This window comes from Homo sapiens, chromosome 21 (genome assembly GCF_000001405.40).
Source record: "Homo sapiens chromosome 21, GRCh38.p14 Primary Assembly".
In the NCBI taxonomy this organism is placed as follows: Eukaryota; Metazoa; Chordata; class Mammalia; order Primates; family Hominidae; genus Homo; species Homo sapiens.
Genome location: NC_000021.9, coordinates 37,895,355 through 37,919,696, shown reverse-complemented (window position 1 = coordinate 37,919,696; position 24,342 = coordinate 37,895,355). Strand labels below are relative to the sequence as shown.

The window sequence follows — 24,342 nt, the reverse complement described above, 5'->3', positions numbered from 1 at the left end:
GGGGTTCATTGTCATGCACTGAGAAAGAATTCGGCACACAGACACAGGTGAGTGGGTTAAGGAGCAGAAAGTGTAATAGAAGAAAGGAGAGAGGAGGGGAGAGCAGCTCCTCACGAGCAAGAGACACGTGGAAAAGGGAGAAGGTAGAGGACCGCAGCAGATTTTATACGCAGGCTGGAGAAGGCGGTGTCTGATTTACAGAGGGCTCACAGGTTGGTTCACTCAGGTATGATGTCTACATAGTGTGCTGGGAAGGCTAGTTGCCCCACCCTAATCTTCTTATGCAAATGGACTTTCCAGTTGATTGGCACCATCTTGTCTGCTCGTTTACAGTACACGTGGCTAACAGAGACGGGAAGATGGGACCGCCATATTTAACATCTTTAGTCCTTAGTTCCTGCCCGCATTCACCTGTGCAAGCTCCCAGCTTGCAGGCTGCTTGCTCTCTTAGAAAATTATTTGGGGCTGATTTTCATTAAAAAGAAAAGCCTTACCTAGGACTCCCATACCCTTACTATCTGCCTAAGTAATTGCTTCTTAACTCCTATATCACATTCAGTACACTGGAAGTACAAATGTAAAATAGAATAATTTTAACACTTATCTCTTGATACTCTTTAAGATGTCCTTTTATAGACAAAATAAATTTTTTAAAATTTATGTTCCCATCTCTGCATTTTAAATATATTGTTTATCTGTGGTAGGGTTTTTGTGGAGAAAGCAGGCAGGGGAGTGAAACTGAAAAAGAACTAGGTCTCTTAATAGTTAGACCCACAACAGCTAAGGTCTTAAATCTAAAACAAGTACTGGCCCAAGGGTGGAGACCAAAAACTCCCAACCATCTTAGTTCTGGTGTCAGCCTGTCTAAGGCAAGGCCAGATCTACACATGGGCCAAGAAGATAGAATGGTTTATAAATTGCCGCAATCAATGACAGAGAAAAACAAGATTACCCAAAACAAATGACAGCCCGTCAAGATAATTCAGTTTGTTAATTTTACTAGCTAATAAGTCTCCATTACAGCTTTATATGTGGGAGACAAACCAGTCTCATCTGTATGACATAATCAATCAATTATAAAAGTCACTGTGAGATTTGGAGCACTGATTTACCCTGAAAGATCTTCTCCCCCAGGCCTTGCCTTCACCTGAAATCATAAAATAGATATATAAGTGAGATTTCAGACAAGCTAAACACAATGTAGTTTGAGAGACCAGGCTCTCAGGAGCTCAGAGGAGCCACAATTTGCAGCTCTGAAGCACAGCTCGCCTGATTTTCAGATGTGGCTGCAGTCTCTTAGTTACACCCATGCAGATCACTTTATCAGAACTCTACGGAATAAATGAATGAATTCAGTTAAGCCAATTGCTCTTGTCTCTGGTGTTTATCAAATCCCAGGCTGTGTTAATGGGATCCATCTCATTCAACACGTGCTCTTATGCCATTCACAAAGTGCTATTGCCCACATCACCCCGGCAGCTGTTTCAAGTAGGGGAGTTTTCAAAGTATTTGAAGGAGACAAATAGGTTACTTCCAACTCTTGACTTTCTTATTTAGTCTAATATCTTGTAAGAAAGATACTTTGTGAAATCATTCTACTGGTAAAAGTATATATCATCAAAATTAGCAGGCATACCCATAGCAGCTTCACAGATTAAACAGAATGCCCTTTACACAACTATAGTCAACATGGGTTGTTCTTTTAATGTTCTAAGGCTGTGTCCACCGAAATCCTGCATCTTGCATTTGTATTCCTGGTCTCTCAGGGATTATTTGGTTCAGTTGTTCTTTGTTTATTTGTAACACTATCACTAGATCCAGCAGGCATTGTGGAGCACGTATTACACATACTACAGATATTACACATACTCATATCTTCTGTATATGGGATATATGACTCAGAAGTAATAGCAAGTCAGATTACAACCTCTTAGGGAAAATCAACAGCAAATACAAGCTCACAGGCCGTGTGTACGGTTGACTTTTACATGACTTTGGATGCAAATTGACACAAACACCTCTCCATATTACAGTCATTTTTAGAGGGCAGACAGCATTCTTGAGGGGACCTGAATTGCTAGGTAATTAAAATGTATGTATGTAGAATAAAATAATCTTGGAAATAAGAGGTTTCCGTAAGCCTTCTCTCTAAAATAAGGTCACCTTCTTTGAGGTAGAGATTCTGTGCCTTGTGGAAGGAAAGCCACTTCATAAAGCAGCACAAGAATAGCCAGTTATTGAAAGGGCCATTATAAAATTACTAGCCAATGGTATTCGCTACTCTTACAATTTGTCAATCCATTCATCCCTAGGAAAAAGACAGCATAAAAGAGAGTTCTGTTCATAGGTAGAAGCAATTTATGGGAAGACTTTGGAAATGTAGAACCATTGTTTTTGATGACCATAAGAAAAAGAGGGGGTGCAAGAGGGGAGCACTATGAGGGGCCCCTGGAATAACAGCACAAAGCAAGTTAGATTCAAAGAGTGGAGTAGACCTTTGTCTAAGGGGCTTATCCTGACAAATTCAACTTTGAAGGCAGCCTGGGTCATTCTTGGAAAAGGCCATTCTTTGTCTCCAGTGACCCCAGAGACATCATATAAGGATGGGGTGATGATGCAGCAGCCGGGACCAGGTCCCAGTTGCAGTGGACAGGACAGAAGGGACTGAATGGGGCAGCAGGCTGGGGCGCCACCAGGTGCAAGCAAAGCTCAGGGATAGGGCCCCTCCCCTCCGTCCCGGCCGCTCGCTGCGCCCCCTCTGGGCGGTGCAGGCTCCGGCTCCCGCGCCGGGGCTGCCTCTCACGGATTTCAGCCCGGTGGGAGGCAGTGCCCAGAGCCTCTTTTTCCTTATCTCACAAAACCCTAAAAGCCGAACCCCTACAACCAGCAGACAAAACTGCTCCCCGAGCTTCGGCTCTTTCCTGCTTTCCAGGCGTTTCTCCGGGAATAACTTACTTAGTGGCACTGGGAGAAAGGTTGGGACTGGGGGGTCGGGGACCGAAACCCAAAAGATTCCCCCAGCATGGAGCACCCACGTTTCCAGTGGCGGGGGATGCACGTTGGTTTGTGCCCAGCCCGCCCCCACCAAGCCCGGTCCTCGACGCGCTGACACGCTAGCTGGCATGGGCGGCGGGGTGGGCGTCTCTGGGTCTGTGGCTCTGTCCTGCTCGCCCCCGCCCCTTCCTCCCGGACCGCGCCGGCGCTGTGCGGCTTTTTCCCCAGCACGCGGCGCTGCACTCGCTTTTATCTCGGAGCCGCGTCGCTTCGTGCGCTGCCAGCGGGGCTCAGCCAGTCGGCTGGAATTGAGTAGCATTCATTGAATCTGCGGATTTCATGACGTCTCTCTGCGTGGTCCACCACTTTTCTCCTAACCGGGGATTTTTTTTTTCTTCTGCCACTCTTATCTTTCCCCACTTCATTCCACCCAGTCTCCCTCCCCCGTCCCTGCCCAAACGCGCGCCCCTCCGCCCCTCCCTTGGCCCCAGCGCCCAGCCCTGCTCTCCGCGCTCGGCCAGAGGGAGCCAGTCCGGAGACGGCCGCACCTGGCTGGAGAGGCTGGGCGGGCGGAGGGGTGGAGACCCGCGGACGCCGGGAAGCCGGACCTGGAGCCGGAGCAGCCGCGAGCAGAATGGAGTCTCCTAACAGCCTCTCGGTGCTGATGTGAAATTTGACCATCTGATTCCAGTTTTTTTCTTTTCCTTTTCTTTTTTGCATTTCCTTCCCTCGCCATCCGTCGTGTAGTGAATTGTTCAGTCTTGCTCCGTTTCAAGAGAGGAGATCATGATTGAGTGAAGCCACCCCGTCCGCAGCCAGGTAAGCGGTGCGCTGAGCTGCTCGCAGGCGAGGAGCTGGCGTCCACCTGGGCGAGGCGTTCCGTGCTCTCGGGTCCCCGCGTCCCCTTCCCCAGCTCCGCCGTCGCCGCAGGCATCTCCACTCTCATGAGAAACATTGTGCCCAAGTCAGCCGAAAGGCGAGGGAGAAGCCGGTTACATAACAGAAGGGGAATCTGTTTCATACGGTTTTCATTAGCGACTGAAACTCGCACGGGGGGCGGGGGAAGGAGGGGTCTGCATCCCTGGGCTCGCAGAAACCCAGTCAGTTATTGCAGACATCATTTCAACATCCGCTGGCAAAGACTTAAATGCACTGATTAACTGACAGGTGCGGCTTGTGATGTAGTCATTTACAGTTGGGAAAAGCCTATTGTCTTTGTGGAAGGCAGTCTTCTTGTTCTGCTTTGCATGGAGAGGAGAGGAGACAACACGAAAGGGAGGAAAAGTGAGGGTTGGGGAGAAACATGCGGAGAATGGGAAACAGAATACTGTAACTCCTAACTGTTCTCTATCCTTAAAACCGAAGATGTGCTAGCATGACTAAAAACAGTGAATAGGAAGATCTTCCTAGGAGTAAACTGAATTATTTTGTAATTGGAAGGGAAGAAAAAACACTTTAGATAAAATGAGATGTGTGTGGCATTTAGAGGACTGGGTGGCTGTGGATATTTGCTTCCCTGTGGATATATTTTCATTTTCATCAAAACATTAAGCTTGGATTAGTTTTTAAGTGAAATAACATCAGTATTCCCAAAACCCAATAAAAGCCCAGTGGATCCACAGGTACATCTGTTGTACTAGGTGCAATATGGAGAGATTGTCAGGGGGAAAATATATCTTAATAGAAACAGCCACAGAGGGTGAGGTTAGTGGAGAAACAAAATACCAGAATTTTCCAAAGAATTCCGCCTCCAACCCCCAAAAAAAGGAAGAGAAAAAAAAAAAAACCCCACAACTCCAGTGTTTGGGAGTTGGAGATGTATTATATGTTTAGAGTGTTTCCCAACTGCTGTTATCCAAAGTCTGTCGGTCCCGGGGAGCCCTACGGTACAGGGAGCAATGCCACATCCTGCTAGCCCTGTTCCCTGCCTGCCTTTCTTTTGCTGAAAAAAAGAAACGGAAAAGGGTGATGCCCAGGAACTGCTTAGGGAGAAAAAAGGGCTTGCTACAGTCAGGGCTGAGCTAACTGAGCTTCGCCCATTTTGCCTGGAGAAAGAAAAAGAGCTCGAGTCTCCATGGCGACCCAGGTGGGAGGGGAGACCGCAGCTCCAGTTATAGGGGAAAAAAATTGGACAAAACTTTCCCGGCTCCAGGCAAAGGAATACGCCAGCCGCGTGCCCTGTGGCGGGTCCCAGGGCATCGGTTGTGCCCAACTCCCTGACGGCGACGCTCGAGAGGGCGCCCAGAGCTGGCCGGGTGCCCCTGAAACCTCCCGAAAGTTGCCTGGGGGCCGCCGAGGTGGTGGTTCCTCAGCGGGTTCCGGATTCAGCACCAAGGCCAGAGCCCAGGCGCCGAGGGTGAAGCCTCACCTGTCTGCAGCCCCCAGCAAGCAGTACCCACTCCTTTGGTCGCTGGAGGTCAATCACTTTCTATAAATAAATGAGTCTTTGGCTCGTGCAGAATCTGGATATCAAATTACCCACGGAATTACGTGAGGCAAAGAAGCTTGCAAATCATCCATTTTATGCATGGCGGTGCATCAGAGGACCTATTCAGAATCAAGAACACTGGGACAGGGAAAGACCTGAGCTGAACTGAGAGTGGAGACAGGATTCTGTCCTCAGGGGGAGAAAAAGGACGCGCGCGCGCACAGACACACACACACACACACACACACACACACACACACACACACCCCGATCCGCCTCTGACGAGGGTTGCTAGTTTCAGCTGAGTCCCTTTGGCTTTCAAAAGCATGCATCCCTTGCCCTCTCACGCTCTTCTCTTTAACTTTTTGTTGGGCATAGATGGCAGAAGGGAGCTGTGGAAGCACCCTGGTCAGCGAGAGGCCAGCCAACCAAGTTTGTTATTTCTTTCTTTCTTTTTTAGACGGAGTCTCGCTGTGTCACCCAGGCTAGAGTGCAGTGGCTCGATCTCGGCTCACTGCAACCTCTGCGTCCCGGTTTCAAGCGATTCTCCTACCTCAGCCTCCTGAGTAGCTGGGATTACAGGCGCACACCACAACACCTGGCTAATTTTTGTATTTTTAGTAGAGACGGGGTTTCACCATGTTGGTCAGGCTGGTCTCGAACTCATGACGTTGTGATCCGCCTGCCTCAGCCTCCCAGAGTGCTGGGATTACAGGCGTGAGCCACCGTATCCGGCCCAGCCAAATTCTTTCTAAGGGTCCTAGGACTGAAGAGGGTGGAGATATAGTTTCCTCTCGGTCTAGAACTGGAAGGAATCAAAACAACACTGGTGAGCTTCCGAAAAGGAGAGAGAGTTTGTTAGCAAGATGAGAGCCAGTGATCACATCTTCAAGCCTGCGTGTGAGCAAGGTGGCTACATTTCCTAGGTTGCAGTCGTAGGAAACCGAGAGGAGTCACTTCTCTTAATACAAACAAGGAAGAAACTGCAGGAGGGGAGGATTTATTACCATTCAAGTTCCATTTCAACATTCATACAGGGAAAACAGGTAAGTCCATCAAGCCCTTCTGCTCTCACTTTACGAGAAGCTGGTCTTTGCCCTGCTCTCATCCTTGGTAGTAGGTCCCCCACCACCACAACTGTCACTGATATGAAGAGGAAAAATAATACAGGAAGGTGACAGTCATATTTGAAATAGAATGCCTGTCAGAGTGCCATCCAGGTGTTACAAGGTATACTTTGAATTGCAGAGCCCAGTCAAGGTTTGGCAACTGGTTGGAAATGTTGATAAAGCTTCAACAATATCCCTGGCTGCTTTCCTGTTTTGTGGATGCACTTGTGCATGAGGTCTTGAGCTGGTTCTGGTTTGTTATTTTTAATGGTAAACAAGATATGATCCTGGTTTTCCTTGCTGGGCTTTCCAAGTGTGACATGTTGTTTCTAAAGATATTGCATGCTGAGCACTCAGGATGTGGTTAAAGCAGTGTGTTTCTACCTTCCAGTCTTTTCAAATGATTGCTAGTGAAGACAGAGCAATCTATTTCAAACCTAAGCAAAAGGATGAGTTATTACACTATTTCTTACATTTCAGTTCCTGATAGGTATTGACAAGTTTATCCATAATTTAGTTTATGAAAAGGTTGCTACCTAAAGTAGACAGAAGAAGTGACACGTGGAGTATTAAACAACGCAGCTGTTCCTTGGCCTTGTTCCATCTGACATTATCAGCAGAAGGGAAGTAGACGTTCATTATGAGGATGAAGCTATACGAGAATATAGACTGTTAGATAAACAAAGTAATGTATTTCTGAGTTCTAAAGTTCAATTTCTCTAATAAATTAAAAAGGGGGGTGGTGTCAATAATCTAGGTATATGAAATTGTTCAGTCAATAATCTTTACTTCTGGTAGTTTCCATGCTCACATATTCAGTGCTTATTCACCGAACTATGACTTGCTTTCTTCCTAGGTGGCTAATTGATTAACAAAGTGTCACTATGCCCTTTTCAGTCAATAGCATACTCCAAAATAATTGGTTTACTCATTTCAAGTAAGATTTGTTAAGGAGAGCAACTTGTGAAAATTCGCCCCCATTCACTTGGTTCCATTTTGCTATTTTAAAAAATCATTTTGATACCTCTTCTAGGTATTGCCTAAACAATAGTTACCTCATCTAGATATTGCCTAAACATTAGTATGTTTTCCTTTGTGTGAGACAGGTCTTTATTTAATACATAGGACTTACATGAACTATTTTCCTTGAGAATATAGAAGGGCTTTTAACTCAGTCTCATATTCCTCCCTATCATCTCAGTCTACCTCTACTTTATAGGGAAAAAAATTAGAATAGTTATTTAAGAAGTTATAGAAAAAATTCATTGGAGATTAAAAATAAAATACCCTTATGGAATCTTAACCCCATTCACTGATTTTCACAGGTAGAAAATGTTGCTGTTCTCAAGGGTTTAATGTTGACCATGTAAACCTTAATGAAAACAAGATAAATGCTCTTTATGGAAAGGCAGGCAGATAAGGTGAAGCTCTTCTCTTTTTCACCAGTTCTTCCTTTATCAAATGATATGTAAGTAATATGGAAATGGAAATGGACCAGAAATAGGCAGAGTAGGAGGAAAGAAGAAAGTGAGGGGAAAAGGCAGTTACTTATTGCTACCAGCTTTAAACTGACAATACTTTTCAAAGTGAGGTTGGTTTTTCTAAGTTCATTGTATTAGAACTTTAAGTTTGGTGGAATTAAGATGTTTAAATTCAGTGAATTTGGATTTATAGCTTATTGAGATGGCATTTCTTGTTTCTTCATTTTATCTTCAATAATTGGCATTTAAGTACCAAAAGATAATTGATTCACTCTGGAGTTTTACAAAATTATTAACTTTGGTAATACCAGTAAGGGGGAAATTGGCAGTTAAGTTGAAAAATCATCAAAACACTTTTGTTGAGTTAGTTTTCTTTTTAATTTTAGTGAAAGTATTTGGAGAGATAGAAGAATAAAATGTAGCTGTTTAGGATAAAAATACATTTTGAAGTGCATTTTAAATAATTATTTCTAGAAATAATTAGGCTCCAATAAAAAGAAGAGATAATCACAATTGCAGTTAGTGCTCTAATGGTATTCTGAATTTCCTCTGGCAAAGTACTAGAATATACATATACTTGCTATCATTTTAATAACATTAAATAATAGTGAAATTATTTTCCTCAAAGAGCGGTCTCATCATTAAAAGAAGAGTCTGTATCCTCTCTAAACTATAGCTTTGATCTAATCATACCTGCTAATCAGTTGTAAATATTCATTTATTTATTTGTTACTAAATTGAATCATTGTTTAAACAAAACCTCAGAGAATGATTTTGTGCAGTGTGCAATGTTCAAATGGTCATTCAGATCTGATTTTATATGGAATGCAGTAAGGCCATCAATCAATTTTCCCAATTACAATGTGTAAAGTTAACCCTAAATTTTAACCAAGTGACTAATTTATGTCTATACAAATGTATCCAAGTCAGATTAAACCCATTATCTCCTTGAGTCTCATGCTTCTCATTTTTTCTGTATGGCTGTGCTTAGGACCAGGAATCATACAGTACTGGTGATTCTTTTAGTGAATAGATTTTGGCTAACATGTATCACCGGTCTTATTCCCAGTCACAGAGATGTGGTTTCCGACATGAAATCCTTACAAAAGGAACCAGAAAGTGCATCTGTGGCTAAAAAGATCCATGTCCTTGCCAACAACTGTTCTGTGGGACTAAATCTGAAGGTATTATATGCAATGTGAGAGACATATCTATAAATTAAGTTTAAATCCTGTGGCAGTTTCCTCTTTAAACTTACAGACATCTACTTTTTTCTTATCCAGGATAAGAATTGATTTTTTTCATGATGCTTTAAATTTCTCTTGTATCATCTAGCAGGAACTTGTGCAAGTTTGACAATGTGCTTGGTAGGCGGTGTTGCTCCGTGATTAAGAGCACAGGCTCCGGTGTTTCTTACTAACTGAATCTGCATCAAGGTCTAGGTGTATCTGTCCATTTTTGCCAAGTTTGGGGCAGTAACAGCAACCCCAGCATCTCAGTGGCTTACAAAACAAAGGCGTATTATTCTCTGGAGCGCTATGCCTCTGCTGGTCAGCTGTGGCTCTGCTCCTGTGACTTCATTCTGGAATTCAAGATCAAGAATTGGTCTGGAACACTCTATCCCAGTATCAGAGGAAAAGGAGACTCCCAAGTTAAGCAATGGCCCTTAACATTTCTGCTCAGACATGGCACAAGTTATCCACTCACATTCCATTGACCGGACAATTCACATGTCACATCAGTGTCAATGATCAATGGGAAGGAGATGTATATTTCTCCCACAGTGAAGCACTGCAAGCCGTGCAGCAACAGGTAGAGACATCTAATCTTTCAGAGAGGGAAGAGAATAATTGGAGGCAATAATATAATCCACTATGCTAACTATGTGACCTTAATCAACTTTATGCCTTGCTTTCCCTATCATAAAATAATAACAATAAGAGTAATAATAACAACATATACCTCAGAGATGTTATGAGGATTCATGTGATAATGTAAGTAAAGTTCTTAGCACAGGCCAGGAGCGGTGGCTTACACCTATAATCCCAGCACTTTAGGAGGCCGAGTCAGGTGGATCCCTTGAGGCCAGGAGATGACTTGAGACCAGCCTGGCCAAAGTGGCAAAACCCCATCTCTACTAAAAATACAAAAATCAGCCAGGTGTGGAGGCACATGCCTGTAGTCCCAGCTACTCAGGAGGCTGAGGCACAAGAATTGCTTGAACCCAGGAGGCAGATGTTGCAGTGAGCTGAGATCACACCACTGCACTCCAGCCTGGGTGAGAGGGAGACTCTGTCTCCAAAAAAAAAAAAAAAGTTCTTTGTGCAGTGTCCAGCACAAAGTAGGCACTTTAAAAATAGCAGATGTTTTTATTCATTTATTGCAATGTGGCATTAACTTCAGTTCTTGATGAGCCTGTGTATACTGTATTAATTAGAAAGTTCTTGAAACAGAAAATATCTAAATCTCACTAATTTAACAAAATAGAAGATTTCTTTCACATAAATCTAATTGGTTGATGCCGTACAAGGACCCAGGCTGAGGGACACTTTGTCATCTTTAGTACATGGCTTCTAAGATCTGCTGAGTGGTGATATCCAACTAGCAGACAAGGAAAGAGGGAGAGTAGATGATTATGTAGAAGATTTTAATGATCCGGGCCTAGAAGTAATGTATATCACTCCTATTCATATTCTATGGTCATACCTAACTGCAAGAGCAGCTGCAAATTGTAGTTCAGCTCTATATCCAGGAGGAGGGAAACTGGTAGGGTGAACACACTGGAGTCTTTGGTATGCATGCCCGATATAAATGTCTGGCAGCAAAGAAATACAGCTAATGTGAATCAGGATAGAGTAAGGCAGAGGAAATGATTTGTCCCAGTGGTGAAAAGATTCCTGGTAGAGACAATATTTCCTGGTGCCCTTGAATCATTCTTTAGTGGTGTATTTTTTTAAAATAAATTAGTTGGGATATGTTGACTTTTGGAGTAGGTGTAGATGATTCTTAACAAAAGAGATGCAAATACATATTGTTTGATTTCTGTTAGCTGATCTGTTAAAGTAGACACAAAGGAGAAAAGCCAACTTCACAACCCATGCTCAAAAGCAATGTTCTAATCTTGACAATTACACCCACATTGTGTCTAAGAATGCTGAAGAATTAGATGCTGTCTTCTAATATCTGGCACTTGCTGTTGACTAGCAATTTGCATTTTGTTTTAAATCCCCTAAATGTCCATAGGCTAGATACATGCTGTAAGTTTAGGTTGAATTAGTCTACTAATAGTCATTGTTTTCCTGAAAATAGACCATGTAATTTGTAAGCAGTGTTTGAGAACCTCTGCTTCCCTCAAGGAGAAAACTTGGAAACTAAGTTCCATACCTTTTCACTAGAAGCAAAAGAACAGCTTTAATGCCAAACTTACAACCTAGAAAAGAGAAATGTCAGGGAGAAATATCTGAGAAGACTATGAGAGGAAGAACCAGAAGAAACAGAGTGGTGATCCATAATACTTCCGGTTCTCTTACATCGTTTCCATTTCCCTAACTCAGATATCACAGCCACATACATTCATGCAGGGGAAAACATTATCAAAATGAAACAGTAAATACCAGTAATGCATGTTAATCCTTCCATGGGGCAGTAATACTGGATTAGAAAACTCTTGACCTCTTCAAATATCTTGCCATTCCAAAGTAAATAATGTCTCATAGTGGAACTTCTGTTTAATGAAGAGAATGTTTTTGAGGACAGGATTTATTTCACTGCCACATTCAATCATTTCAATTTAAAAGGGATATAATCCAACAATCTATGTGCAGAAGGGAATAGGCAGGACAGTACCTGAGTCCAAACCATGTAATATTAGAGTAGATGAAAGAATTAGGAGTGTTTTCCCTGGAGAATATGTGGGGGAGGAGGCATGATAGTTGTTTTCAGGTATCTTGATATTTGAAGATGAAGGAAGGATTATAATTGTTCTGCTGGGCTCTAAGGGATAAAAGTGGGACCCAGCAGTGGAAGCTACAAAGTGACATATTTTGGTTCAATATAAGAAAGCATTTTCAGTAGTCAGAGCGGGGCAGAGGTAATGTGATCTGTCTTCTCTGCATTTACACAGCTCTGAATTCTTTGTCACTAGAAGCATAAAGAAGCTGAGAGAGCTAGGAACTGGGGTTGGAGTGTATGTATTTCAAAGTCTCTGCAACACAGAGCACTTCTAATGGCTATGAGAGAAGCGATGCCCTTCAGGCTCAGTCAACAAATCAGACTGGACCTCACCACTCTATGGGGCCATTGCTTTATGACTGAGGGAGCCATCATTTCTCTATAAAAAAAATGAATCACATTTAACCAAAAATGATATCTCAGTCCCTACACGAACCTTGTGTCTATGAGAGCAGGTCTGGAATGCAGTAATCATATGACTAAGCAGCATCACATGACTAAGAGGAAGGGTACAGGACTCACTGCTCATGGAAAAGCTTTACCCTTGCTTTTTGTTGTCAACACACTACCTTCAGTCAAAAGACAAGGAATGAAATCTCTCTTCGGAGGTTTTTGCATCACCTTACAACATTTTCAGAGCCAAGACTCCATGACGAGTTAGGCAGAGCACACTTCAGATTTTTAGACATCTCTAACGTGCAAAATATAGTGCTACTAACATATAATTCCTCCTCTCAAGAAATCTAGTTTCAATAATGGCAACGAATGGGGTAGATTCCTTCCTCTTCAGCTGTCTCCCAAGGTCTCACCAGTCAATACCCTAAACATATTCACCCTCTTAAATTTTCATTAGCCCTCCTGGGGTGGCTGGGCCCACAGTAGTAAAGCATATAAAGAGAGGGCAGAAAGAGGACGGCAAATAAAGAACCTATGACATTATGTGTTGTCATTGGAAGAGAGGCCGCATTAGGTGGCCCTCTTTTTTAATCAGCACTCAAGGAGTGTTGGGCCCAAGCCCACACTCCACATGTCTCCTTGACTGGCCACTGTTGGGGGTCTCTGTGGACAAAAGGAGGCATCAGAGCTGATGAAAGTCAGCTGAGGTCAGTGGTTCCCATAGTGTGTCCCTGAACCAGCAGCAGCATCACCAGGGAGCTGGCTACAAATGCAAATTCTCAAGCTCACCCCCCGATCTACTGGATCAGGAACCCTGAGGACAGGGCCAATCATCTGCCCATCCCCTCCAGGGATTCTGATGCACTCTAAAGGGTGGGAGCTACTGGCTTAGGTTTTCCTCAGATCTGCTTTAAGGAGGAACCCAGACACAATGCCCCTTCTCACAGCCTTCTTCCCACGATAGAGACCTCCAAGTCCAGGCTCATGCAAGAGCCAGGTAGGGTCACAACTAGAAATGGAATGCCAGAATGCCCACTGCAGAGGCAGATTTAACCTGGACTCAGTGTCTAGGGGGGAAAAACAGCAAAAACAAAAAGCTTTTGGTCCATCAGAAAAAATACTCATGATCACACTAAGTTGCAAAGATTATGAGCACAAAGCAAGGGCTTCTCTGTTATGCAGGTTATTTAAATAAACTGCTTAGTATTTTGGAATTATAGTTAATCCATCCTGAAGTTTATTTGTTCTTTTCAAAATTAATAGTCTCATTTATTATCCTTTAAATAAAAGATGCTATCAGTGAATAAGAATGTTGTACTCTTGAGAAAAGCCATATTAAGAAAATTGAATAGAGGGCTTATCACAGCAGACCTTCATGCAGTCAAGTGAGGAAGAGTTATAACTATATAACATTTACTTTCATTCTAAACATCTCCTGACCACCTTCATATTGCCAGAAATTGGCGCTTCATAGCTATGTCCAGAATTGTCTTAGCTTCTTGGGTTAGTCAGTTGACAAATCTCTGCTAAGTACCTACTACCTAAAGAAGACAAGGGGACATAGAGAAAAAAATGCCCTGACTTCAGTTCCCAGAGGCCTTAAACTTAGAAAATGAGAGTATTGATGAAACAATAATGTACACAAAGAAGCATAGCATTACACAAGAGAATGGTGCTAGAGTTTAAGTGAGGGAGGAGAACATTAATAAGGGCTGGTATCTGCAGAAAACATCCAGGGATGTGGGGAAATGTGAAGGAGTCTTGGAAGAACAGTAGCGTTTTGGTGCTTAGTAAGGTTTTCCCAGGAGAAAGAGGGCTTTCCTATGAGGAACCCACCTATAGGTTGGTGCAAAAGTAATTGCGGTTTTGCCATTACATATATATAGGGTGTATTGGCAATGAGGATTGATCAGGCAGGGGTATGGTCTACCACACCATGGAAATCAGAGCGCCACGCATCGGCATGGTACATGAGCTCATAGCTCTTGGAAAAGTGACTGCTTTGATTGGGGGCAAGTGGGAGGAAATACAGGAATTTTAATCTGGCAGTCATGAGCAAGACAGAGTTAAATACTGGGATTAGGACACACAGCTAGGACACTGATCAGAAGGCAAGAAGCCCTAAGCATGTGTGAAGCAGTAAATGAGTAATAGAAAAATGGACCTGCTTTAGTGTCATCAGTGGTGCTGAGAGCAGATAATCACTCATGAGCCAAGAGAGCAGGCTGATGATGGATTCCACCCAAAGAAAGCTCTCACACCACACTGCATGGGCCAGAGGGAGCGCACGTGGCTGCAGTCCAGGCGCAGAGTGTTGAGGTTGTTCCAGTGAATAAATAGCGGTGCTGGGCAGAGAGCTAGGTGAGCTGCTGCAGCAGCCAGATAGGGGCTGTGGTGTCTTGTCACTTTCATGTGCAAGGTTTTGGCTGGCAGAGTTTAAGAGCATGTTTTTGGGGATTTGCTGTGAATGGGAAACTTGTTCATCCTGAATATGATGAGACCATTTTATTTTGTGATCTGGAGCAGAGAGTAGACAAGACTCCTTTTTTTCTCCTGTGCAAAAACAATGTTGCTTGATGTTCATCTCCTAGTCATTCAGCCATATCTGTCAAACTACAAACCTTCTCTCTGCCCATGAAGTAAAACTCACTTATGCTTTGATAGAAGTCACTGGGAATTTAGCCTGGCTCCCAAACAGCATGAATGGAGACCCCATGAAAACAAGGAGTCTATAGTAAAAAAATAAAATGGGGTTTATGTGGAACTTAACCTTTATGGCACAGCCCACTACTTCAGTATAGTGATAAGTGTGGGTCAGTATAGAACTTCTAAGTAAGTGAAGATAATTTTTTTTCAAGACCCCAAAGTGATACCAAAAAAAAATGAACAAAAATACTTTGCTGTCAATGAATTTTATTTTTCAGGGAAATTGTTTATTTGGCTTGCACCACTGAGATAGTCTTCTCTATTCCTGTCGTGTGCATAAGTGGAGTTTATTTTAAGTTAGCAAGGCTGAGTCTTTTGTGAGATTCAGCTCTCATGGGAAGTACAAAGTGGTTATCTTGGCCACTGGGATAATAGCTAGAACATGGGATCCAGCATCAGAAGGTATATTTCACCTGAAAATCCTTGGGTTATAAATCACCCAAACAATACCAAAGTCATTCACAATAGCCCACCCACAAAAAGTGTGAAACCTGGACTTTAGAGCAGCTAATAGAAAGGATCACATTGTGGTTTCAGCAACACAAAAAACTGTTGTGGGATAGGAGAATTTAATTAAACCCCACCAGCCATTTTCAAATAAACCCACAATATTTTCATTGCATTAATAAGGTTTTCTTAAAATGATCAGTTACTCAACAATATCTGGATGTTTTTTGGTTACTCTCTACCAATATAAAGTAAATTGTCCTTTTATTACAAAATAGGTGTCAGGAGGCTGTTAGCACTAAAGACAGACCCTGGGTGTCCTGGTGAAAAATCATAACCTCATTTGACTACTTGAGCCCTTGCAATGTACAAGTATTGTTGCAGTTCATTTCTTTCTTCAGGTAAAGAATCTGGACTCAAGTTGCTTCTTCGTTTTTTTTTGTTTTGTTTTGTTTTGTTTTTAATTTCCAGAGGAACTATTGATATTGCTAAAATAAGGCAAGACTTATACATGGAGAGTGATAAATAGAGTGAGGAGCCCTGTGTGTCTGTCCTGGCTTCTTCCCATGTCATTTCAGACACCGGTAATCTGATTGAGTCATCTGTGCTTCATATTCCAACCACAAAACAGATCCAATCACTCTGTCCCCTTAAAGCACCCTAAGATTCCATAAGATGGCCAATTGCATTACATATTAGTCCATTCTCATGCTGCTAACAAAGACATACCTGAGACTGGGTGATTTATAAAGGAAAGAGGTTTAGTGGACTCACAGTTGCATATGGCTGGGGAGGCCTCACAATCATGGTGGAAGATGAAAGAAGAGCAAAGGCACATCTTACATGGTGACAGGCAAGAGAGCTTGTGCGGGGGAATGCCTCTTTATAAAACCATCAGATCTCATGAGACTTATTCACTACCATGAGACAGTAGGGAGAAACTACCCCCATGATTCAGTTATCTCCACCTGGCCCCACCCTTGACACATGGGGATTATTACAATTCAAGGTGGGATTTGGGTGGGGATACAGCCAAATCATATCATGAGAAAAGGCAAGAGGGGTCTCACTGAGTTGGCAAAGAAAGAGAAAACACTGAGTAGGAACACTGAAGCTCTTAGCCCCTGAGAACAAATCGCAGACAGCATGGAGAGGAAGGGACAATTGTTTCTAATAAAGAGAGAGGAAAAAAAATGGGCTTAAGATATGTGCAAGAGGGACTTGCTGAAAACAGAGGTTCTCACACCCTGGCATTGTTTTAAAAGGAAGGAAGGGTAATTTATATGCTGTCATGTCAGAGAAATCAAAACAATAAACTAGGTGGCTTCTTGAGTTAGATGTCCAGGTCATTGAATTTGAGATGTCAATTAAAAGTATATTTGAAAATGCCACCAAAATGCAAAGTCATGTTCTCAGGCTTGAGCTTTTATCTTCTCACCATGGGCACTGTCTGTGGGGTTTCTTCTGCAGCCACCCTGTAGGCCGGTGCCTTCCTGCACACTTCTTCTCTCTGCCAGATGCAAACTTCTTTGCCAACGAGGGTCAGACTACACATTATTGTATCCCCTATGTTTTCATGGAAGGGCCATTCAATATATGATATTTGAATAATATTTCTATAATCCTTAAAGTGTACTGAGAACTACCAGAAACTATTAAAACTATTGAAAATAGTTATCTTTGGAAAAATAATACAGAATCTATTATTCCATGTAGGCACATTGTAGCCATTTCTATGAATGCTGTGAGGACCCACTGTACAAGAAATAAAACACCAAAATACTGTTATGTAGGTCAGAGGGGAGATGTCACATGGGAAAGAGCTTTCTTCTTTTCTTAGTAACTTGTACTGGCAAAAACATCCATTCTAGATGTCACTCAGATGTGATATTTAAACGATGGAGGAGAAGGAATAAATTTGTGTTTCAGATGGGACAAGGGAAGTAACATTCACTTCTCTAAGCCATATAAAAATTGAAGCACAGTCCAGGTCACTGATTTCTGGTCTTCCTGTATTGACATTGTTCTTCTGGGTTGCCTTAAAGATCTTCAGAACCTAAGTCCTCATGCCCTTGGGCATAATCATATTTCCTTTCTAGGAGCCTGAGAGATTGGAGTTAACCTGGAGTCATGTGGTTCTATGGGATGAGCTTTGACAGACACTGAGCTCTATTAGATGAGTTATTTTACTTCTCTCTATATCAGGTTTTCTAGCTACAAAATTGGGATAATTAAAAAAAACAAATTAGTTAGCTGGTTTTCCTGTCCCCTGCTTCTAAGAGGATATGAAAAACTGTAATAAACAATTTAATGATTTTATAATTTTTAATGCCAAGCATATGTGTTACTTCAGAAGGCAGATATGCTACTTACACTACTCTTCTAGGACTTTAAAGGAGAAATAAATGAGTTTAAGACTAGAATAATGACCCAGTTACATCCCAGGGCACCCACATCATCAAAGACTGAACTGTGTCCAGCACAGCACACTTACCAACATAGAGAAGGGAGCTCACTTTTTAGAAAGATTTTTAACAACTGAATTTGAAATCCTAACTTGAACGTCTGTTTATTCCTGGTTGAGTCAATTATCCAAATAATTCAAATTAAACTGGAACACTCCAGTCCTGAAGCATTCTCAATCATCAAAGTTTTACGGTAAAGTCAAGGTCAATGCTCTTATGATTACAGATGAGTTTGAACATGTCTGTAGATACATGTGTGGGGGTGGAGGAGCTCTCTACCTTTATCCCTCTATTTCCATGTGGTTTCCATACACTGGCACTTTTCAGATTCACCCTGGGGAAATTTCACCGATAGAAATGCAGAGAAAGTGTATTTTGGGTATAGCCTAACTTGTGGAAACCAACCTACTCTTTCTCTAAGACAACACTCACCTTTAAAGTAACTTCCCAATTTGAGCTCTTCCACTGTTTTAACCTTTCTACAAAGCAAATAGTGTTTATTGCTAATTCAGAAAAGTAAACACATTTTAACATTGGTGAATTCTGTGCTCAAACAGCTTGACCAAAGACAATAAAATACTGTCAATTTATTTTACCTGAGCCTTTCTTATTTGTTTGTTGCACAAGTATGTTCACTGTAGAAAAATGTGAACATTCAGATAAGCTAAATTTTTGAACAAAGAAAGGCAGGAAGGAGAGAAGGAAGGGGGAGGCAGAAGTGGGGGAGAATATAGCACAGACTGTAAATAGGAGGGTTTACTATGTTTTATGTTTTATAACTAAAATTGGATCATATATTGTTGACTGATATTGTTATTTGATAATTCATCATCAACTTCTCTCCAAGTCAGGAATGAGGAGTGGTTTGCAGATTTCTTTGGGCTCATTGTCTTTTACTGTGGGTCTCACTCCCTGCTCTTCACGCACCTTGCTGATGGCCTCATGCTGTTTCTCTAACATGATGGATACTTGCTCCATATGTCCAGGCCTCCTAACTCACTCCTTCTGCTGCCTTGGATGTCCTTTCCCCAGATTTGCCTTTCTCCCATCAAATCCACCCAGAATTGCCCCTTCTCAGCAAGCGCCTTCATTCCCACCTCCTTTAAGTTTGTGCTGGCACCCATCCTTCACCTCTGCTGCCACCTCCTCCTTCCCGATTAAACTTCCTCCATAGTATGCGTTACCTTCTAACACGCCACGCAAATTGCATGTGGCTTTGTTTATTTTCTGTCTCCTGCAATAGAAGGCAAGCTCCTAGGGGTAGAGTTCTTTTGTTCGTTTTGTTCACTGATGTTTCCCTAGTTGATGTCCTGCACATAGTAGGTACTCGATATGGTCAACGAAACATAGACTATCATTGTGGTGGCTGCATTGTGAGTGATTCTAAAACATACTTCCTGTGGATTTATAGCATCCTATATTTTGGACATTTGGGTTGTTTTCCCTTTTTTTGTTGTTGTAAACAGTGCTGTATAAGCATCTCCCACACACTGTGTCTTTCTACACACTATATCAGAATGCCTTTTTAGTATAAAGCATTATACATATAATTGCTGGGTAAAAAGGGTAGGCACTTTTTTGAAAGCTTTTGTTACATTTCACTAAATTGCCCTTCAAAAAGGCTGTGCCTATTTACATTCTAACATTTCCTAGTGAAAGAACAATCTGTAATCCCTCATCCATTGACCACAGAAGCAATCTGATTTGACATGAAAACATTCAAAGAAGCTGGACAGGTCATTCTCAGCTGCCAGAACCTGTGCCCAACCTGAGCCTCCCAGCCACACGAACTGGGCGAGTTGTAAAGGAGGAATTAACATCAGACACCAAGCAAACACCTTTGCATAGTGGAACTCATATGCTACTAGCTTTCAGCAATAATGTCCCAGTCATTAAGCCAGTTGGTTCTCACAAGCGCCCAGGAAGGAAGGGAACTTACTGTTTTCCCATTTTGTAGGTAGGGAACTGGAAGCCAAGTTCACAAGGTTAGGTTGTACCAGGTAGCTAGGATTTGTGATCAGGGTCAGGAGACTCTGGCCCTGCATTTTGGACATCTGGCCTTGAACTCTTCCCACCTCTGGTCTTTTTCAGCATTCTCCCAGACACTACCAAGGTCCACTCTTCAATTAACATTCACTGGCTGTGAGGGTCCAAGGTGTGTTCTTTACAAGAGATTTTAAGAGTGTCAGCAAAAGTGTGGTAGTGTATTAGCTTCTTGAAATGCTGTTATAATTTTTAGACTTGAGGGTGAGACAAGAGAGCTGGAGAAAGAGAGAGAAAGAAGCAGAGTGAGGGGGAGTGAGAGAGAACGAGAAGAGGACAATCCAGCTAAGGACAGTTTCCTTAACAATCGCTTTTCTAGTCCAACTTGGCTGTATTTCAGGGCAAAACTGGTTTTTCCCTCTGGGCTCACAAACTATTATTAGTTTCACATGTGCAAGAATATCATTAAAGCGATGTCATGATTTCTACCGAGATTATACACAAAAGACAAAAATCTCTTCCTCTCACTGTTCTTCCACCTTTACCCAGGAGAAACTCAAAATCACATTTCTCAACAGACGGAGCCGTCTCTCCCTTTCTTAGCTGTTTTGCCCCCTGAAAACTTGAGAAAAGTATACTTATTAAAGGGTTGAAAGCCTTTACTTCTTAACAGAAGGAGGGAAATATTTGCATTTTTACTATGTAAGTTCTTTTTAACCTTTCTTATTTTAAAACATTGGATAATATTTTCTTGTTAAAGCAGGATATTTAAAACTTTTTTCTGTATTCAAAGCTTCAACAAAGAAATATAGCAAAGAGAGGGTCATCATCATAAACAACTGTAAATTACACCTAAACTAATGAAAAAGGAAATGTTTTTCCCTGGCTATGCCTCCCTTTTAAAAAGTACAATTTCACAAATATTATAACAATTCAGTTCTTCTAATACCTCTGTATCCAGTGCTTTGATATTACCTGCAGATGGAAATACTGAGGCTGAAAGGGAAGATGTCTTATTGCCCAGGATGCATAACATCTGTGGAGCCTGGTCTGCAACTCCACCCACCACCTACAGCCTTTCTAGGGCAATAATAGAACAGTAACACATTACTGACTTTTTCTTTTTCTTTTTTTCTTTTTTTTTTTTTTCTTTTGAGATGGAGTCTTTGCTCTGTCAGCCAGGCTGGAGTCCAGTAGCGTGATCTTGGCTCACTGCAACCTTCGCCTCCTGGGTTCTAGCTATTCTTCTGCCTCAGCCTCCCAGATAGCTAGGACTATAGGCATGTGCCACCATGCCTGGCTAATTTTGTATTTTTAGTAGAGATGGGATGTCACCATGTTAGCCAGGCTGGTCTCGATCTCCTGACCTCGTGATCTAGCCACCTTGGCCTCCCAATACTGGCATTTTTGAAATTTAAAAGAAATGAAATCCAATGGGAACAATCCTTGACAGACACTCTGCAGTGGCCTACCTGGAATAGAACTTTCCATGACCGGTAAGGGCACTAGAGCCCATTTCATGGCCACTCAAATGTACAAATCAGATTCCACAGATGCCAGGCTAGCGTCAGCAACCAAAGCTGCTCAGACACACCATGTGTGGTGGCCCCCATCACGCTCTGCCTTCCCCTTCCCACACGGATACTTCATCGAGCCTCCCAGATGGTTTTAAAGGGCGGTCAACATGGAGAACCCACAGTAGTGAGCACACACAGCCCAATGTCCAAGGTTCACTTGAATAACAGTCATTTAATAGGAATCTTCCCTTCTTCTTTCTCATGATCTCCAACTCAGGAGTGATTTCCCATCTCACTTAATTTTTACTCCCGTAGCAAATAGGGGTTGGATCCCACTGGGTCTTAAGTGCTGTGGCAACTTTGGGAAAACAGATGCAAAAGACTTTTTATACTAACAGGTGGTACAGAATACAATGGCTGTGATGATAAGCCTGTCCCTGAGATGGACACATGCGATTGTCCAGTCTGCACGGACCCCTGGTTGAGCCAGGACTTCAAAGGCAGAGACTTCCCTGATGGATGCAGGAAATCCGAGGTAGCCCTGGGGACAGAGGCTTAGAAAAGTGAGGGACTAGAGGGCAGTGTGACAATGGAGTACAATCCCAGGGAGAGAGTGTGAAGAAAGGTCTGCTTTGGGGAAATGGGGACAGGCCACAGGGCACGGAGAGCACCAGGATCAGGACCATAGGTGGCCTCTCAGAGCCAGTCAGCAGCTAAAGCAAGATTTTAGACAAGGCAGTGGAACAGACAACTTTGCTTCTAGAAAGAAAGTGTTGTGTGGTGGGTCATTTCTCCCAGCATGGGAAGCTTTGGGCTGAGGCTCCCTCTGCTCATTGCCATTGCTGTACCTGGATGGATTTGGCTGTCATCGGGGGTCACTGTGCACACACCTTCCAGCCAGGACTGAACAACACTGTTCTGTCTCCCTGCTGGGCTGCACCTTGGGTGGGGCTCCCACACTAAGCAAGGGGAGGAGTCCACGCACCAATGGGGGTTCTGTAAGGTAATAGGAGAGGGGACTTCTTTTTAGAGCTGCCTTCTTAGAAGCCAAAGTGGCCTTGTAGAATGGAGAGAACCCAGTTATACCCAAAAACTGTCAGCCCAGCATTGAGATGCTGTTTAAATACCTTAGCAAGAGCAGCCACAGTGTTTGTTCCTACAGGCAAAGCTCAGCCTCCCACACGAACCAGCTACCAGCTGCCCTCCTGGCTCTGGCAGGAGCCCCGGCTTCTGGCCCTCCCCAGCAGTGCCACAGCTCCTGGATGAATTCCCAGCAGCCTGGCTGTGGGCACTCATTTCTTCTTTTCCTTTTTGAAGCTCAGGTGCCTTTTCTGAAGCAAACCGTGAGCTCCAGGCACTGTCAGCTTGCCTCTGTTTTTGGTGGAGGTGTGTCTGTCAGCCTGGGGTCCTCCGCTGCCTCTGGGGCCCGGGTGTCTTCTCTGTCAAAGGCTGTCAGCTTGTCTCTTCCTCTGACAGACACTGGCTCCTGCCAGAGAAACCCTGAGTGTTCCTACAAGGCTTCCATGAGTTTGTTCATCCCCAAGCCCACGTGCCACCCTTGAGTCTCCCCCAGGAATCGGGGGTGACAGCTCTGCCCTCCTAGTGGTAACACAGTCCCAAGGTTCACCTGGAGACCCAAGAAAAGTGGCCTCTGCACCTTCACGGCCCACAAGAAAATGCATGTTCCGTGCCCGTAATGTTCCAGGCACCACTAGCAAAGACACAGCCGAACCCCATGCCAGGCAGGTGAGAAGCAGTCAGCCCCACATCAGCCTGGTCATCTCAGGTGGAAACAGGTGTGTGCACGATGACCAGACAGGTGGCTTCTGGCACCCTACGAAGGGCTTCAGAAGCCTCAGCAGTTAGCATGGGTGATACAGTTTAGGTCTCTGTCCCTGCCCAGATCTCATGTTGAGTTGTAATCCTAATAATGGAGTTGGGGCCTGGAAGGAGGTGATAGGATTATGGAGACGAATTTCTCATAAGTTGTTTAACACCATCCATGCACTATCCTCGCCATAGTGAGTGAGTTCTTACGAGATCGGGTTGTTTAAAGGTGTGTGGCACCTCCCCCTCTGTCTCTTCCTCCTGCTCTTGTCATGTGACGTGCCTGCTTCTCACCTCTTCCTTCCGACATGATTGTAAGTTTCCTGAGGCCTCCCCAGAGGCCGCAAATGCCAGCATCATTCTTCCTGTGCAGCCTGCAGAACCGTGAGCCCCTTAAAACTCTTTTCTTTATAAAGTACCCAGTCTCAGGCATTTCTTTATAGCAGTCCAAGAACGGCGTAATACAATGAGCCTGCAGGCATTTATCAGACTTGTGAGAAAGTTTCTGATTTTAGGGGTGAGATTTCACCCTGGGAATACCTGAGAAACTGCAACATTTTACAATAAGGCTTTGCCTCAGATTTCCAACTTTTAAAAATGGGGAATGGGGCACCACTGTCAGGGCAGGAGAGGGAGGGAGATGGCTCTGAAGCCCTTTGTCTTCATCACACAGCCTCCCTGATTGGGGTACCTTCATTCCAATGTTCCTCTTTACTGAAGTAATCAGGACAATGTACTTCACCCTGAGGGCAGGTTAATGGGAAAGTCTGCCTCTTTCACCAGGTGGGAGGGACAGAGGAGGAAAGGGCTGTGCATCTTTTATTTCAGGTGCTTCCAAAGAATGACCTCTATGGGGTCAGTGAAGGTAGCTAGAAATGGGGATGGGTCAAGGAGAGAAATGTTGGATCATGGAGAGGAGGATTTACTAAAGCAAGGATGTCATCTTCAGCCAGAAACAAAGCTGGTTCTATTCAAAAGTCTGGTCATACTTCTCCCACTAGGAGCAGACACCTCCAAAGGTGCTACTAATGGGGTCAT

General features: G+C 43.3%; 1 protein-coding gene across 1 annotated transcript in view; it reads left to right on the top strand.

Moving 5' to 3' along the window:
• The window catches only part of KCNJ6 (potassium inwardly rectifying channel subfamily J member 6), a 309,085-nt gene continuing 287,982 nt past the window's right edge, over nucleotides 3,240-24,342 (top strand). The window contains exon 1 of the mRNA NM_002240.5: nucleotides 3,240-3,813. The gene's annotated coding sequence lies outside the window, so the exon portion shown is untranslated. The remainder of the gene's footprint in view (nucleotides 3,814-24,342) is intronic.